This window comes from Homo sapiens, chromosome 7, assembly GCF_000001405.40.
Source record: "Homo sapiens chromosome 7, GRCh38.p14 Primary Assembly".
Classification (NCBI taxonomy): Eukaryota; Metazoa; Chordata; class Mammalia; order Primates; family Hominidae; genus Homo; species Homo sapiens.
The window spans coordinates 3,158,704-3,176,618 of NC_000007.14; the positions used below are offsets into that span (position 1 = coordinate 3,158,704).

Consider the following 17,915-nt stretch of genomic DNA (forward strand, 5'->3'; position numbering starts at 1 on the left):
GGCAGAATCCAGAGCAGCTTTTATAGAGGATTTGATGTTTAACTCATCATGGAGAGGTCCCTGATCTCTCCCTGGAGAAAAAGGAAGTCGATGGGGTCGTTTGTACGGCGAAAACTACAGCATGATGTTGGAGGGATCAGGGAGCCTCCTTCAAGGGTTTAGGGGGCTCTGGGTCAGGGCCTTTCTGGACGGTTCTTCCCTTGGGAATAGGAAGCCAGGATCACAGAGGGGAAGGGTCCAGCCCAGATTTGGAGCTGGATACCCTAGTGGGTATCCCTTAAACAGGAGCAGGTGAGCCTGTGTTACAGGACCCGATCTGGACCCCAAGAGAGGGTTCTTGGATCTTATGCAAGAAAGAATTCAGGGCGAGTCCATAGAGTAAAGAGAAATCAAGTTTATTAGGAAAGGAAAGGAATAAAAGAAGGGCTACTCCACAGACACAGCAGCCCCAAGGGCTGCTGGTTGCCCATTTTTGTGGTTATTTCTTGATGATATGCTAAAGGAGGGGTGGATTATTCATGCCTCTCCCTTTTAGACCATATAGGGAACTTCCTGACGTTGCCATGGCATTTGTAAACTGTCATGATGCTGGTGGGAGCGTAGCCGTGAGGATGACCAGAGGTCACTCTGGTGTCCATCTTGGTTTTTGTGGGGTTTTGCCAGATTCTTCACTGCAACCTGTTTTATCAGCAAGGTGTTTAGGACCTGTATCTAGTGCTGACCTCCTATCTCATCCTGTGACTTGGAATGCCTTAACCATCTGGGAATGCACCTAGTAGGTCTCAGCCTCATTTTACCCAGCTCCTCTTCAAGATAGAGTTGCTCTGGTTCAAATGCCTCTGACATCTGGGTGGTAGGGTTGTGCTGCCTGGCTTCTTAACTTCCTGGCTCAGAACCCAAACCTGTTGCCTCTGGCTGCCCAGCCAATGGGACTGTGACAGCTGGGACAGGAGAGCCACTGAGCTTATAAACACCTGTGAGCAGGTATCCGGTAGCCAGCGGGGGGAGAAGCGGTGGATAGACACAGGGCTTCCCAGCTTAGGCAGGAAAGGACTGGCTTCCCCACCCACCCTGTCCCCATACCCCCCTACCACCACCACTTTCTGGAACTTTCCTTAAACAACTGCTGGGCTGTTGCAATTTGCTGCTTCCCTTCTTTTCTTGTTAAAACATTTTATATTTTAAATTTGTTTGCAGACAATTTCCGGAAAAAAAAATAATATGTGTGTGGGCCACATTCGTCATCCTGCAAATTTTATTATTTTTTATTATTAGAGATTGCAACGTGTGCCTCACCATGCCTTTTTCTTCTTAGTAAAACTAAGTTGAGTTTAATTTGGCTAATTAAAAGACACGTAACTCAGATATCTGAGGCATATAGAGTTACCACATTCACAGAGTGTGAATAGGTTACCTATTACCTAAATAGAGTAGAAAATAGGTTACCAGGAGCTGGGAGGAGGGTGCGATGGTTAATACTGAGTGTCAACTTGATTGGATTGAAGGATACAAAGTATCAATCCTGGGTGTGTCTGTGAGGGTGCTGCCAAAAGAGATTAACATTTGAGTCAGTGGGCTGGGAAAGGCAGACCCACCCTTAATCTGCGTGGTCACCATCTAATCAGCTGCCAGCATGGCTAGAATAAAGGCAGGCAGAAAAATGCGAAAAGAGAGACTGGCCTAGCCTCCCAGCCTCCATCTTTCTCCTGGGCTGGATGCTTCCTACCCGCCAAGTTCTTCAGTTTTGGAACTCGGACTGACTCTTCTTGCTCCTCAGCCTGCAGACAGCCTATTGTGGGACCTTGTAATTGTGTGAGTTAACACTTAATAAACTCCCCTTTATATATATATATATTCCATTAGCTCTGTCCCTCTAGAGAACCCTGACTAATACAGAGGGGGAGATGAGAAGTTGTTGAATGGGGACAGAGTTTCAGTTTGGAAAGATGAAAACATTCTGGAGGTGGATGGTGGTGACGGTTGCCCAACACTGTGAATGCACTTAATGCCACTCAAATGTGCACTTAGAAATGGTTACAATGGGCCAGGCACAGCGGCTTATGCCTGTAGTCCCAGCTACTCAGGAGGCCGAGGCAGGAGGATTGCTGGAACCCAGGAGTTGGAGGCTGCAGTGAGCATCACTGCACTCCAGCCTGGGTGACAGAGCTGGACCCTGTCTTTTAGAAAATGAAAATAATAATAATAACAAAGAAATTATTAAAATGGTAAATTTTATGTTCTGTATATTTTAGCACAATTAAGAGAAGAAACATAACTAACAGGCATTTTGGTGCCTTATTAAGATGCTGTGTGTTTAAGCTTTTGTGAGGCTAGTGTGTGTGTGTGCGTGTGTGTGTGCCCTTGTGTGTTTGTTGTTGCTGTGTTTTATTTTCCCTGGCTGACTTGGTGAGCTCTTCATTGAAAAATCAGTCTTTCCATGCCTATTAATATATTCTTTAAGTCTGAGGGAGAAATTATCTTTTTTAACACTGTATTTTTTAAAAGGAAATTTTTCATGGCTCATGAGCTGGACAGCCAAAATTCACACAGGGGCTCTTTGGACCACTCTCCTTTATTTTTTTGAAATGGAGTCTTGCTCTGTTGCCCAGGCTGGAGTACAGTGCCATGATCTCAGCTCACTGTAACCTCCACCTGCTGGGTTCAAGCGATTCTCCCGCCTCAGCCTCCTGAGTAGCTGGGATTACAGGCACCTGCCACCACATGCGGCTAATTTTTGTATTTTTAGTAGAGGTGAGGTTTCACCATGTGGGCTTGAACTCCTGACCTCAGGTGATCCAGGTGCCTCGGCCTCCCAAAGTGCTGGGATTACAGGTGTGTGCCACTGCACCTGGCCACTGGACCACTCTCCTTGAAACAGTTTTGCTCAATCCCTTTTCTCCTCCTGGCAGCGGCCACAAAATGGAGTCAAAACGTTCTTTGCCGCCTGCCTTGTTGACTCACACTTGTAAACCCAGAACTTTGGGAGGTGAGAGGATGGCTTGAGGCCAGGAATTTGAGACCAGCCTGGGCAACATAGTGAGATCTTGTCTCTATAAAAAAATTAAAAGTTTTTTAAAATCCAAAAAAATAAAGACTCCAGAATAGAGTGCCTGGAACATAAGTGTCCTCAGTAAATGTTGGCTATGATGGTTAATCATAGTCTGTATTATTATTGAAATTATCACTGTGACTGGGCATGGTGGCTCACACCTGTAATCCCAGCACTTTGGTGAAGCTGAGGCGGGAGGATTGCTTGAGCCCAGGAGTTTGAGACCAGCCTGGGCAAGATTGGGAGACCCCATCTCTCGAAAAAAAAACAACAAAAAAAACAAGTTAAATCTAAAAGAAAAGAAAAGACATGCTGGCCAGGTGCAGTGGCTCACACCTGTAATCCCAGCAATTTGGGAGGCCGAGGCAGACGGATCACCTGAGGTCAGGAGTTCGAGACCAGCCTGGCCAACATGGTGAAACCATGTCTCTGCTAAAAATACAAAAATTAGCTGGGTGTGGTGGCAGGCGCCTGTAATCCCTGCTGCTTGGGAGGCGGAGGCAGGAGAATTGCTTGAACCCAGGAGCCGGAGGTTGCAGTGAGCAGAGATTGCACCATTGTACTCCAGCCTGGGTGACACAATGAGACTCTAACTCAAAAAAAAAAAGAAAAGAAAAAAGAAAAGAAAAGAAATTCCGTGTGGTCACATCAGACCTAGTGATGATTTCTTTTCTTCTCCACCCACCCACCCAACCAGTTGTATTTCCCATGGAGCCCAGTAGAGGGTAGAGGGTAGCAGCTTGAGCACATCCTGCATGGGTGGGAGGATGATGCAGGATTAAGGAGCTTCTCTTTTTTTTGTCTTGTGTTCTCAACACACTTGCTTTCTCTCCTGGAGGGTATCCTCTCTTACCCACGCTGTGGAGTACATGCCTCACTTTACCCTGTAAGTAGCCCAGCTCAAAAGGCAGCCATTTCTTTCCCATGAGCAAGGGGCCTCCCCTTTCGGGAATTTTCCTTTAGATTGGGCAGACCTGGACATTCCTCCCCTTCTGCCCTCCTTAGGAGGGAGTGCTGTTTAGCTTGGGTACATGAACCCCAGTGATATGGTTTGGCTGTGTCCCCACCCAAATCTCATCTTGAAATCCCACGCGTTATGGGAGGGTCCCAGTGGGAGGTAATTGAATCATGGGGGCGGGTCCTTCCCATGCTGTTCTCATGATAGTGAATAAGTCTCATAAGATCTGATGGTTTTATAAGGGGGAGTTTGCCTGCAGAAGCCCTCTCTTTGCCTGCTGCCATCCATGTAAGATGTGACTTGCTCCTCCTTGCCTTCCACCATGTTTGTGAGGCCTCCAGCCACGTGGAACTGTGAGTCCATTAAACCTCTTTCCTGTATAAATTACCCAGTCTCATGCATGTCTTTAATAGCAGTGTGACAATGGAACAGCACACCCAGAGAAGCTCTTCTCAAGTCATGAGCAGCATGCACATCAGCTGAAAGTCCCAAGGGCATATGCGGATTCTGACTCTGGAGGTGCAGGTTTTAAACTAAGTTCCAGGGAATGCTTGCTGGTGCATGGACAACCACTCCTCCAGCTGCAAGTCTAAGACCTTCAGAGTATCACTGGCCAAGACCCCACAGAACCTCGTGTGTGGGGAAGACACAAGAGTGGGTTCTGACCCCAGACGCTACCCACCGGGTCTGATGGGGAACATTGGCAGGCTTGTCACAGCTCCCAGTCAGCGGAGAAACCCCTCTGGCTACGAGAGCCATATGCTCTAGTTTTATGGTGAGAGAGGAGCCGGTAACCAGGGATGATGGAGTGGACTGGCTCAGAAGCATGCAGGACCAATTACGGGCACTCCTCAGATCCCATGCAACGTGAACTGCCTAGGGCATCAGTAAGGCCCCAGGGAGCACTCCGGGCAATAGAAAGTTCAGGACACCTCACAAAGGCCTGTCTGCTTTCTGTTCTTTGAAATGTTCCCTTCTAACAAGGAAACAGAAGTGACTTTTGCCTTCTCTCTCTGCTCAGCCCAAGTCTAACCAGAACTTTTTCTTTCTTTCTTTCTTTTTTGAGATAGGGTCTTGCTCTGTCGCCCAGGCTGGAGTACAGTGGCATAAGCACAGCTCACTGCAGCCTCTACCTCCCAGGTTCGAGTGATTCTCCTGCCTCAGCCTCCCAAGTAGCTGGGACTACAGATGTGTGCTACCTCACCTGGCCAACTTTTGTATTTTATTTATTTATTTTTTTGGTAGAGATAGGGGTCTCACTATGTTGCCCAGGCTGGTCTTGAACTCCTGGGCTCAAGTGATTCTCCTGCCTCGGACTCCCAAAGTGCTGGGATTACAGGTGTGAGCCTGTAACCCTGAGTTGGGGCTGTGGCGAGCTATGATTGGCCTAATCAGGACTTCCTTGGGTTCACATACGCCTTGCTCCTGGGAGGAGTGAGATGAATTCTTATCTGCTGTGGGATAGAGGAGGGGCACCAGAGCCTGTGTTTTTACACCAAGGACTGCGTGGGGCCCTACAGACCTGCCTTTCCCTGCCCAACCTCCTTCTCTGACCAAGACAAAACTGCAGGTTCACTGTGGCAGGTGATTACAACGGACAGAGGGTTTGTTCCCATACTCCATCTACCAGTGGTGACACTTCCTTTCCCTTCAGCTCACCTGCTCCCCCAACTCTTTGAAGAAATCTCAGTAATTCACTGAGATCAGAGTCTATCACACAAACATCCGAAATTGTAGCACACCGGGGAGCCTGCCAGGAAGGCCTATAATCAGATAACACATTCCAGCCCGGAGACCTTTCCAGAGGAAGGGTTAAGCTCCCAAGGTAGTTAGTGGAAATCAAAGAACTGCATGCTCTCATTATCTCATAACAAACATACCAGGTTAATAGCTGTCGCTGCCGCTCTAAACCACGTGTGTTGTGTTTTGTGAGTGCTGACATGGGGCGTTCTTTCTCCCACCATATCTGCAACTTGACAGTGTCATCGTGGTTGGGTGCTGGAGTCTCCTAAAGTGTTTTGCATACTGTCTCCTGCACGTTGCCTCGAAGGATTTTTAAATAATTGCTGTGTTTAATGGGAACTCCTTCCCCTCTCTAATCCCCTCCAGTAGAAAAGCTGGCCAGTGTGCCAGTGTGCCCGGGGGGCATTTATTTATAGCAGGAACGAAAGTGGAGCGTCCCAAAAGACTGTCTGCTTGTCCTGAGCTGGCAAGGAGCAAGGTTGGATGCCCAGCTGTCCTGGACCACCCCTTCCCATGGCTCCTCCAGCCTCCTCTCTCCTGCTTGCACCCTGGAGCTTCCTTCCAAGCAGGATGGGGGTGGGGGTGACAGAGACAGCCCCAGAAGGCAGGGACTGACTGTGGGGGACCCACAAGGCTTGTCAGGCCCCTCCCTTCCCATCAACCCCTGAGTGATGCCAGGGCCCCTGGGCAGGTGCTGCCAGGGCTTAGGACACAAGGACCTGTGTCCTGTGTGAATTTTGTGAATTCTGTGTGAATTTTGTGAATTCTGTGTGAATTTTGGCTGTCCATCTCAGGACCACTTTGTTCTTGGATAGGACAACGTGGTTGTGAGGACAGGTGTGAGCAAGGCAGCCAGTAGACCTGGAGGCAGGGGCTAGGCAGCCCCCTCGACAGAACCCCATGAAATTCTTGCACGTGGAGATTTATTTGCACTTGCCCTGAAATCCCACAAAACAGCGATGACAAAGATGGTAGCACCTCTGTCCATGAGAGAAGGCTGGAGCGTCAGGCTCCTGGGTGTCAACCAGGTCTGGCCAGTGCCTGTCATGCTTGGTCTGGGTGGCTCTGGGCCTGCCTGATGTCCTCCTGCTGACTGGTCTTGGCTGGCTCCAGGACTGGGACCCTCCTGGGGGTGGCAGAAGCCCCTGAGCCTGAGGCCTAGAGGGCACACCTCTGACAGCAAGGCAGCAGGAGCCTGTGCTGAGGTCAGACCTGGGTGGGAAATGCAGCTCCCATTTTTACCAGCTGTGTGACCTTGAACTACCTTCCAAATCTCTCCTTGCTCTTCTTATGGGTGGCATTGCTTTGCCCAACAAGATAAGTTGGAGTCTTAACTCTAAGACCTTACTCGGAGATAGGGTCTTTACAGAGGTAATTCAGATGAGGTCATTTGGCCAGGCGTGGTGCCTCGTGCCTAGAATCCCAGCACTCTGGGAAGCCGAGGAGGGAGGATCGACTGAGCCCAGGAGTTTGAGATCAGCCTTAGCAACATAGCGAGACCTCATCTCTACACAATTTTTTAAAAAAATTACCTGGGCACGGTGGCACACATGGCACGCACCTACAGTTCCACTTACTTGGGAGGCTGAGGCAGGAGGTTTGCTTGAACCCAGGAGTTTGGGCTGTAGTGAGCTGTGATCATGCCACTGCACTCCAGCCTGGCTCACAGAGCGAGAACCTGTCTCAAAACAACAGCAACAACAAAAAGATGAGGTCATCAGGACGGATGGACATTAATCCAACATAACCGTACTCTCACGCAAAGGAGAAATTTGGACAGAGACGGGCAGGCTTAGGGAAGAAGAGGGCGTGGAGACACAGGAAGAGCGCCACGTGGAGATCACAGTGATGTGGCTGCAAACTAAGGAAGGTCTGCGGCTCCCAGCAGCTGGAACAAGCAAGGGAGAGTCTTTCCCCGCAGGCTTCAGAGGGAGCATGGCACTTGACTTTGGACTTCTGGCCTGCAGAACCATGAGAAAATAAGCATCTGGGTTTTTTTTTTTTTTTTTTTTTTGAGACAGAGTCTTTGCTCTGTCACCCAGGCTGCAGTGCAGTGGCATGATCTCTGCTCACTGCAATCTCCGCCTCCCGAGTTCAAGCGATTCTCCTGCCTCAGCCTCCTGAGTAACAGGGATTACAGGCACCTGCCACCATGCCCAGCTAATTTTTGTATTTTTTTGTTTCTTTGTGGTTTTTTTTTTTGTTGTTGTTGTTTCTTGAGACAGAGTCTTGCTCTGTCACCCAGGCTGGAGTGCAGTGGCGCAATCTCACTGCAACCTCCGTCTCCTGGGTTCAAGCAATTCTCCTGCCTCAGCCTCCCGAGTAGCTGGGATTACAAATGCACGCCACCATGCCTGGCTAACTTTTGTATTTTTAGTAGAGACAGTGTTTCACCCTGTTGTCCAGGCTGGTCTCAAAATCCTGACCTCAAGTGATCCACCTGCCTTGGCCTCCCAAAGTGCTGGGATTACGGGTGTGAGCCACTGCAGCCGGCTAGTGTCTGTTCTTCTAAGCCACCACGTTTATAGTACATGGTGATGGGATCCCTAGGAAATGAATACAGACACAGGTGGGTAGTGCTAAGGAGATGATAATACAAACCCCAGGGTGGTTGTGGAATGATGTGAGATCACAGGACGCACTTAGCATGCTGCTGGGCACTAGAGACAGGCTCTGGAACTGACAGCGTCTATTCCCCAGGGACCAGGGGCCCTTTTCGCAACCTGCTGAATATTAGCTTGACCTTGGAGCTGCACTACTTCCATTTTATTTCATGATATTTTATTTTGCTGACTGGGAGTGAGAGAAGGGCAGGGAACTCAGAGACCCTGCAAGTAAATGTATGTAAAATTTGAAACGCAATTTAGCATGTGGAGCCGAGAGCCCCGAAACGCGAAAAGCACTCCGCCCCACACCCATCCCCATCCCCATCCCCACACACAGGGGTTGCCATTCTGGGTAGGAACCTGGCTGTGGCTGCCAGCCAAAGCTCATGAGAGAGGCGCGGAACAGGACCAGGTAGGTGGCTCTGATCACAGGCAGCAAAGCAGTTACAGATTCCTTTGCAAATAAGCCACCCTGTCGTCTTTTGCTGTCTCCTTTCTGGTATCTCTTCCCTCCCCGACCTCATCCACCTCCCCTTCCTAACAGATCCAACTTGCAAAGATTCCTGGCTTCTATGCGCCTCTTGCAGCAATACTAATTAAATGTTTCAAATGCTTCTTATCCATGGTTAAGTGAAGATAAAATTTTAATGATTTAATTAGCAAGCTCTAGGAAAAAAAATTCATAATGAAGAAAGGCGTTTGCAACTGTCCTAGGCTTTACACATTTCTGCGTAATGCTGCACTGGAGTTGGAGGAGGCTGGGCCTGCAGTGTGCTTTGCCACACTGCCTGGAAACAGAGACACCCCCAACTTGCTCCCCAGAGAGGGAGGGTGTCTCTAGCCAGACTGGCTCTCATCTTTTGAGGGGGAAATGGCACCCTGGAAACGAGGGACCCATTAACTCAGAAATGAAGTGGAAATGCTTGAAAACGGATGCTGTTTTCCAAAGTAGACTCTCGAAATTGGTCCATTTTTCACACGTCCTCATGACTTTTTTTCATTTTCCTTTTAGTGTGTGGCTCTCTTCGTTTCAACATGGGTAACTGATTTACTTCCAGCCACGTGAATGTTCAGAGTTTACTAAGAGAAAACTCTCATGGCTTCAGGGAGGATGGGATTTAAATGGAAAAATTAATTGCCTTGTTTGAAGACTTTTGGTGTTTGGAGCCTCGGGAGGCTCCCACCATTCAAAGTGGTTTTTTGTTTGTTTGTTTGTTTGTTTTTGTTTTTAATGCAAAGTGGTTGACATTGAGTGACCCCATGTGGAACGATCCTTCTCCGAGAGGCGCTAGCCTTCCCTGAGCACCTTGACTTCCACCATCGGGATCCTCTATGCACCCTGTTCTGTTCACTGCCAAGTGGCCTCCTGTGCAGATCCACAAGTTCCCTAAATGGCCTTGGAAGACGCAGGGTGTGCCATGTTGGTTCAGCAGAAAATATCATGTCCCGAGAAGCCAGTGGACGGCATCACCCTGGCCAAGCTCTGGCACAGGGAGCTGCAATGTGTGTGCCAAGCTGCTTGGAGAACTGGCTCTGGAAGCAGAGCCCCTGGTGCCCAGACTGGAATGCGGGACCAGAAACACGTACTTTTCGTCCTCTGGGGCGCGGATGACGCTGGCACGCACTGGGGCTCCTGCTCCACCTGCCCTGAGGTGAGACCCCATGTCCATGTGCCACACACCATGCAGGCAGCAACGAGTGTTTACCCTATTTCCCCTGCATGTGGGACAGGACTTTCTAAACAGGTTGCTAATAAGTAGTTGAATAAATGTGCAGCAGATGCCATCAGTGCTCGCCCCTCGAGCTACCTCTTTGTCCCCTCTGTCCTGACTATTTGTACTCACCACGACTTTCCTTTGCTGTGTTCTGACGCTTTGATGTCTTGGGTCTTGCTGACCCTGGAGGGACTGCGCCTCCCAGGGCTAGCGGATCCCCAGAGATAGTAAATGACTCACTTGTGAGTATAGCTTTCATCTGCAAACCAACCAACCCATCTCTGACCACTTCCTCTGTAGGGCTCTTACACTCTGGTCACCCATCCAACCTGCCCTGACCACCCCAGGGCCAGGTACTGGATAACAAGGGGCAGCTCCTGTGCCCCGGAGCCCGCTGAAATGATCCAAACAGCCAACCTGAAGCCTGCTCGCCCTGCCTCACCTGTGCTTTCCCTCGGAAACCACCACAAAGGCTCTCACACGCTTCCTCCCGCCCCTCTGTCTCCGGACTGACCCCGGGGCTGCTTTGTGTGGCCCCGTGTGACACGTCCTGGAATCTGTGAGTATAAAAAGCCTTTTATCATGACCATCATTTCTGTGTCTGTGTGTCTTACCATACCTGAATTAAGACAAATCCTAAGAAGCCTTAAAACACCGGCCAGGCATGGTGGCTCACACCTGTAGTCCCAGTGCTTTGGGAGGCCAAGGTGGGGCGGACTGCTTGAGGCCAGGAGTTCAAGACCAGCCTAGGCAACATAGTGAGACCCTGTTTCTATAAAACGTTTAAAAATTAGCTGGGCATGGTGGCACGCTCCTGTTCTAGGTACTCAGGAGGCTGAGGTGGGAGGATTGCCTGAGCCCAGGAGGTGGAAGCTGCAGTGAGCCGAGATTGCACACCACTGCACTCCAGCCTGGGTGACAGAGTAAGACCTTTTGTCAAAACAAAACAACAAAAAACCATCATCGTAGTGCACTGCCCTGACTTCCAGCTGCCTGGGGGCCCTCTCTGGCCCCTAGGGTCCAAAAGAGCCTGAGAATGGATGGCCTTCTGCATTCAGTAACACTGAGCCAATGACTGACATATATAAATATATGTATGTGCAATATAACTGATATATACATATATATATATATAATATAAATATAACATGTATCAAAATACAATGTAAGGCTGGGCAAGCAATAATCCCAGCACTTTGGGAGGCCAAGGTGGGTGGATTACCTGAGGTCAGGATTACCTGAGGGTGGATTATCTGAGGTGGATTACCTGAGTTTGAGATCAGCTTGGCCAACATGGTGAAACCTTGTCTCTACTAAAAATACAAAAATAAGCTAGGCATGGTGTCAGGCGCCGTAATCCCAGCTACTCTGGAAGCTGAGGCAGGAGAATCGCTTGAACATGGGAGGTGGAGGTGGCAGTGAGCTGAGATTGCGCCACTGCACTCCAGCCTGGGCGACAGAGCAAGACTCTGTCTCACAATAAAACAAAACAAAAAAATACCAATATAAATATAACTATACATATCCACATATTCCACACACCACGCCAGAGTTGGAATCACTCTGAGGACATGGTCTACACTGAGTCACTAATTCCGAACCCAGCAGGATGAAGCCCAGGTGCCATGGTGGCGGTCGGCTCGGTAACACACTCTCTATTAGAGGCTCCTCCCCTCCCGCCTCACTTCTCTACTCTCCTATCTATGCTTCCCTGGGCCACCTCCCAAATAAACCACCTGCATTGGCATCAACATCGCAGGATCTGCTCCTGGGAAATTTCAAAATCAGGCAGAATGAAAGAATGAGAATACATCATTCCCAGACACGTATCTCCTCATCCCCCATGGAAGGAAGCGTGCCACCTGCCTGGCCGGAGCAGCCCAGAGGCTCTCCAGCGTCCTCTTGTATCATGTATTTTGGTTCCCAAATCTGAAATTCGGTCAATCAGATTCTCTCTTTCTTTGGAATTCAAACAAAGAAACAAGGACTTGATTTGACACTTGGTGGTGAGACCAAAACCATGGAGAGAGGCTGAGTCATGTCCGTGGTGGTGCTGTTACCAAGACCCCTTCTCAGATCAGACTGTGTGGAGGCCGGCCCTGAGAGCTGTGTTGGGTGTGCTTAAGAGCTACAGATATCCAACCCTGTGATCCATCTGCTCCTTTTGACTCTCAGCCCACGAGGCTGATCTGCACGGACAGTATCAATGGCCTACCCTGGTTTTGGCTTCCCACTGGGCTCACCCAATGGGGATGCCCAGAAGCAATTCAGAGGGACAGAAGGAGCAAGGCCAGGGTGTTGATGTCCAGCTCTTTCCTCATGGGGTCGCCTTGGGCCTACCAACCATGGGCCCCACCAACCATGGGCCCCACCAACCACGGGCTCCACCAACCACGGGCTCCACCAACCACGGGCTCACCAACCATGGGGCCTGCCAACCCTAGATCAAAAATATTTAAAAGAAGAAAATACAACAATAAAAATAATACAAATTGCTAAAACAATGCAGTAAAACAACTATTTACAAAGCATTCACATTGTATCCGGTATTATAAGTAACCTAGAGATGCTTTAAAGTATACAGGAAGATGTTTGTGGGTTACAAGTATATAATATGCCCTTTCATATCAGGAATTTGAGCATCTGCAGATTTTGGTATCTGTGGGGGATGCTGAAACCAATCTGCCATGGGTACCGAGAAAGGACTCTAATCTCTTTCTTCAGCCCTTCTTGGACTATCTTAATCCAAATTTACCATCTTTCCTGATAGATCCTGGTGGGGACCTTTTGCTTGGGCAAGCCTGTGTGGGTCTCTGTTTCTTGCAATCAAAGGCATGGCTTTGGGGCTCAACAGATGAGTGTCATCCCCAGAGAGCCCACATTCCAAGACAGCATGAGAACGGGGGATCCTCTCCAGGGGGTCTTGGCTCTTTTATGTCTGCTTTAACTCCTCAAAGAACCCCATTCCTTTTTTCCAGAGAGGAGGACTCAAGGATAAGATATTTCTGCCAAAAACCCTTTTTCTGTCATTAATATGTTAACAAATGCTGTCAAGTAACAGTCGCGGTCGACCGAATTTGCTGTTGGCAGAGGCTGCGCGCTGCCACACAAGGCTGTGTCTATTCCACACAAGCCCGGCTCCCTCCACCAGGAGATCTTGGCATTGGAGGTCACCAGGGCCCACAGTGGGACCTACCTACCCTGTCAACAGTGACAATGTCTCATGTATGAATAATGCCTTCACGGAGCATTTCTAAATTCCTTCCTTCAAGGGTGGCAGCAGAGATTACAGGAGCAGCGCAGTGGGAGGTAGGCACTAGCCCATGCCCGGAGGCAGGGAGAAGTGGGGAGAGGAGGGAGCAAGAGTGGATATGAACGCCAAGCACAGGGGAGAGGGGATGAGGGCAGGACAAGCCAGATCCAGATGCAAGAGATAACGTGTACTGAAGAAAAATTCAAAGGAGATGAAAACGTCATACAAAGGAAATAGGTATTGAAAAATCAATGGTGGTGCTCAAGGGTCTTAAGAATCAATATTAGAATCACATGCAGAGAAACAATGGGTGGAGGTGTTGTGGGAGGTGCAGATGAGCCAGACATGTCGACCAGGGAAGACTGAACCATCCACAGGAATAGGGTGTATTGGTTAGCCACCTCTATAAAACTGCTGCGTAACAAACGACCCCAAAACTCAGTGGCTTAAAACAATAGTTATATAGGCCGGGTGTGGTGGCTCACGCCTGTAATCCCAGCACTTTGGGAGGCCGAGGCGGGCGGATCACGAGGTCAGGAGATCAAGACCATCCTGGCTAACATGGTGAAACCCTGTCACTACTAAAAATACAAAGAATTAGCCGGGCATGGTTGTGGGCACCTGTAGTCCCAGCTACTCTGGATGGAGGCTGAGGCAGGAGAATGGTGTGAACCCGGGAGACAGAGCTTGCAGTGAGCTGAGATCGCACCACTGCACTGCAGCCTGGGTGACAGAGCGAGACTCTGTCTCAAAAAAAAAAAAAAAAACACCAGTAGTTATTTACTCTCATTGGTCAGAGGGCCAGCAGAGGCTTGGATGTGCGAACCTGGGCTTGGCCAGAGAGGCTCTGATCCACGCATCTCTTGTCTTCCTCCTGAGACCGTGGGCTGGCCAGGCATGCTCTGCTCATGATGATGGCAGAAGGATCAGAGAACAAGTACAAAGGCGTGGGTGCTCTTGAAGCCTAGGTGCACCATCACACCCACTTCATTCCACTGGGCAAAGTAAGTCCCATGGGTAAACACAAAGCCAGGGTATGGAGAAACAGATCCCATTCCTTTCATGGAAGAACTGCAAAGTCAACAGCAAAGGGCATGGATACGGGGAGGGCAGAGATGCAGTCTGTAACGGTGGGCCAAGGGGAGAGAGGCAGGCAGGAAGATGACAGCTGGGGGCTCATTTGCAAGCGTGGATTTGCCTGGTTAGCTCTGGTTCTCTGCTCCCTTCTTTCTGGCTCTTTCTTTTTCTGGTTACTGGGCTATAAATTCGCAGAGCAGGACTTGATGACATCCTCCTTATGGCCAGTCTTGGCACCCCAATGGGCAGCTGTTCAGGCAGTCCACAGATATTTACTGTGGACCTTCTTGGTGCTAGGTTCTGTGGAACAGGAGGACAATTCCTCATTCCTTTATTGGTTCAATTATTTAGTATTCCCTAAGTGTGTGGATGACCAAAGGAAGGAAAGATGGGGTCCTAAGTTTTAAATTCTTTTAAACACTCTCAGGGCCGGGATCGGTGGCTCTTGCCTATAATCCCGGCCCTTTGGGAGGCCAAGGCAGGTGAATGACTTGAGTTCAGGAGTTGGTGATCAGCCTGGCCAAGATGGTGAAGCCCCATCTCCACTAAAACTACAAAAATTAGCCGGGGGTGGTGGTGCGAGCCTGTAATCCCAGATACTTGGGAGGCTGGGCAGGAGAATCGCTTGAACCTTGGAGACGGAGGTTGCAGTGAGTGGAGATCGCGTCACTGCACTCCAGCTTTGGTGAAAGAACGAGACTCTGTCTCAAAAACAAAACAAAACAAAACAAAACAAAAGAACCCCCAAACTCTCAGTATCTGAAACGCCTCTAATTTATTTATTTACTTATCTCTTTCTTTTTTTCATACCCTGTGACATAGAAGGCAACGGCCTCTAATTTCTAAAAACAAAAACAAATACAACCCAAAAACTTGGTGTTTGTGGAAATTGGGAGGTGGGGAAATCAATCTACTTTCAAATTTAAACCTTCAGACTTTTCCAGGGGAGGTTAATATGGCTTCCTCGATTTACCAATTGCTCTGAGACCTTCCATCTAAAATATCCTGTCCCCCTACTGTGCATATTCCCAGAAAACATAGTTCCAGTTTTTGTGCTTTCTCTACGATATCTCTCTGACTTGCATTTGTATTCTGAGACCCAGAATAGCTCAAGTCAGATAAGGCTCAAACCCTGGACTTCACAAGCCCAGAGCCAGGAGGTCACGGTATAAAAACGCTCTCTGCCCAGGTCCACGCTGGGTACAACACATTTGCACCAGGACCCGGCTGCAGCCCCCCAACCCGGCTGCAGCCCCCCAAATGCAATCCAAGTAACTCCCCATTCCCCACAGGGGTCCAATCAGTGTAGAATCACGTTATCAGAAACCATCCATTACATGACAGTGAAAAATAATGCCAACGTTGGATTATTTTATCTTAAAATATTAAAGGAGAAAAAATTGTAACTAATAAGAGGACTTTAAAAAAAAATCAATAACAAAAACCTTCATTTTTGCTTCCCTGTGTGAAAAGAAGTCTCCTATTTTCCTACCTGTCCGCTCACCTTCCTTTCCCAGACTTGCCTGGGCTCTCAGCCATCAGGAGTTCTTCCGCCCATCAGCAATGGTGGCTGCTTCCCCACCTTCCCTCTGGCCTGCTGGGTAGCTCTAGGAAGGCTGGAGGACTCACTCGATGCTCCCTGCTCCTCTCCTCCCTCATCCCCGAGAGTCCTCCTGGGAAGGGTTGTTCTCCCATCACTCTGACCCACTCCACCCTCCCCACCCTGCCCCCTTGAAATCCTCCAGGGAAACTTCTGGCTAATAAAATTCCTCGCCTTGGTACATTGATCAAGGGCTGGTTGGGAGCCCTGAGTGTGTTTGGTGTTTTGGATTCACCGTAAACACCCCGCAGTAAATTCAGCTCCGGGATTTGTATCTGAGTGTTGCAAGGAGCAGGTAATGTATTCCAGGGATGACACCCTGTTTTCTGAGCATCATTCGGAAACATTTTCACATGGCTTCCAATCTGTCCACCTCTCGCTTTGCAGCCCCATGTGGCTCCCTGGCGGGAAATTGACTGGGAGAAGCGAGTCAATAAATCAGGGATGGTGCACAACATTTGTGTTTACTCCACTTAAACCGATATTTACTGGGGAGTCCACCTCCCGGGGCCCCTGCCTCCTCTCACACAAGGGTGGGTCTTTAAATGTCACTCACATGGGGCGAAACACTTAGGATCCTCATCATGAGAAAGGATAATTGGACGGAGCAGATGGGGAAATTTCCCAAAGCAAACCTCCTCAGTCCATTACATATTTTATCGATCGGACCCAGGGGTTCTCTGCCTCTCTGCCAGAACCCTGGGAGGGGCTCCTTTTTCCTGCTTTTAGACTTCCCCAAGTCACGGTCATCATCTTTCTGGATTAGCAAGCAGGCTGACAGCCCTGTTCCTCATTTTCCTCCTCCCGAAGGCTGAGGACACAGGCCTCATTACAGGAGCTACTGGCCCACAGAAAAATTCTTTGCCCCCACTGATAGAAAATAAAAAGGGGGCTTTAGAGGCTGCCCAGATAATTGGAGGCATCCACTGTGTCCCTGGGGGTCACTGGTCGCCTCTGCACCATTCATCTTGCTGACAGACCCCAGCTAGGGTGTCTATGTAGGCTGAGCCCACACGCCCAGGGAATTGTACAATTTCAGATCTGTTCGCTTGCAGGCTCTGCTGCAGGGAAGAGGGAAGGCTGGGGCTACAGAAATGGGGCTAGAGAGATTGTGCTGCCTCTTGTGAGGTAGAGTTCAGGTTCTCAGGGCTTCTCTTGGACGAGAGGGTCCTTCCCCAAGTGCAGGGGAAATGTATCCCAAAGCCCGGCCACACAACACAGGGGCTGACACAGAGACCCCAAGCTAGACCTTGACCTCCGCCGCCCCTGAGAAAGCTCGCCCAAATGCAAAGACAAACAAAAGGAATTGATCATTGGCTTTTGAACTTCTTAAGGTCCTTTCCAAGCATCATATTGACTGTACGTGATTTTTACTGTGCAGAACTTTAGTTTTTAGAATCTGAACTCCAGTGAAATTTTGGCTGGGTGTGGTGGTTCACACCTATAATCCTAGCACTTTGGAAGGCCGAAGCAGGAGGATTGCTTGAGCCCAGGAGTTGGAGAACAGCCTGAGTAACATAGCGAAATGCGATCTCTACAAAAAAGCAAAAACAAAAGCAAAACCCACACACAGATAAATTAGCCAGGTGTGGAGGCACATGCTTGTAATTCCAGCTACCTGGGTGGCTGAAATGAGAGGAATGCTGAAGCCCAGGAGTTTGAGGCTGCAGTGAGCTATGATTGCACCACTGCACTCCAGCCTGGGTGACAGAGCAAGACCCTGTCTCAAAAAAAAAAAAAAAAAAAATAGAGACAGAAAAGTGTGACTTTACTGTACTGATTATTAGTTAGCAGCAAAGTCGCCTCAAGCAGTGCCCTGGTTTGGGAAATGTGGGAGAATAGCTTATGATATCCCCAACCTATCCCCTACTCCCTAATCCCCCACCCCCACCAGCGAGTGTGCTTTGGAGGCCT

The 17,915-nt window shown here is 49.2% G+C and overlaps 2 annotated features.

Annotated features, from left to right (window-relative positions):
* Positions 9,457-10,252: an enhancer, noted in NCBI's record as "H3K4me1 hESC enhancer chr7:3207793-3208588 (GRCh37/hg19 assembly coordinates)". NCBI's record gives its function as "activates a minimal SCP1, AML or CMV promoter by ChIP-STARR-seq in primed H9 embryonic stem cells {active_cell/tissue: H9 hESC(primed)}" and the evidence as "EXISTENCE:reporter gene assay evidence [ECO:0000049][PMID:30033119]".
* Positions 16,979-17,478: an enhancer, noted in NCBI's record as "H3K27ac hESC enhancer chr7:3215315-3215814 (GRCh37/hg19 assembly coordinates)". NCBI's record gives its function as "activates a minimal SCP1, AML or CMV promoter by ChIP-STARR-seq in primed H9 embryonic stem cells {active_cell/tissue: H9 hESC(primed)}" and the evidence as "EXISTENCE:reporter gene assay evidence [ECO:0000049][PMID:30033119]".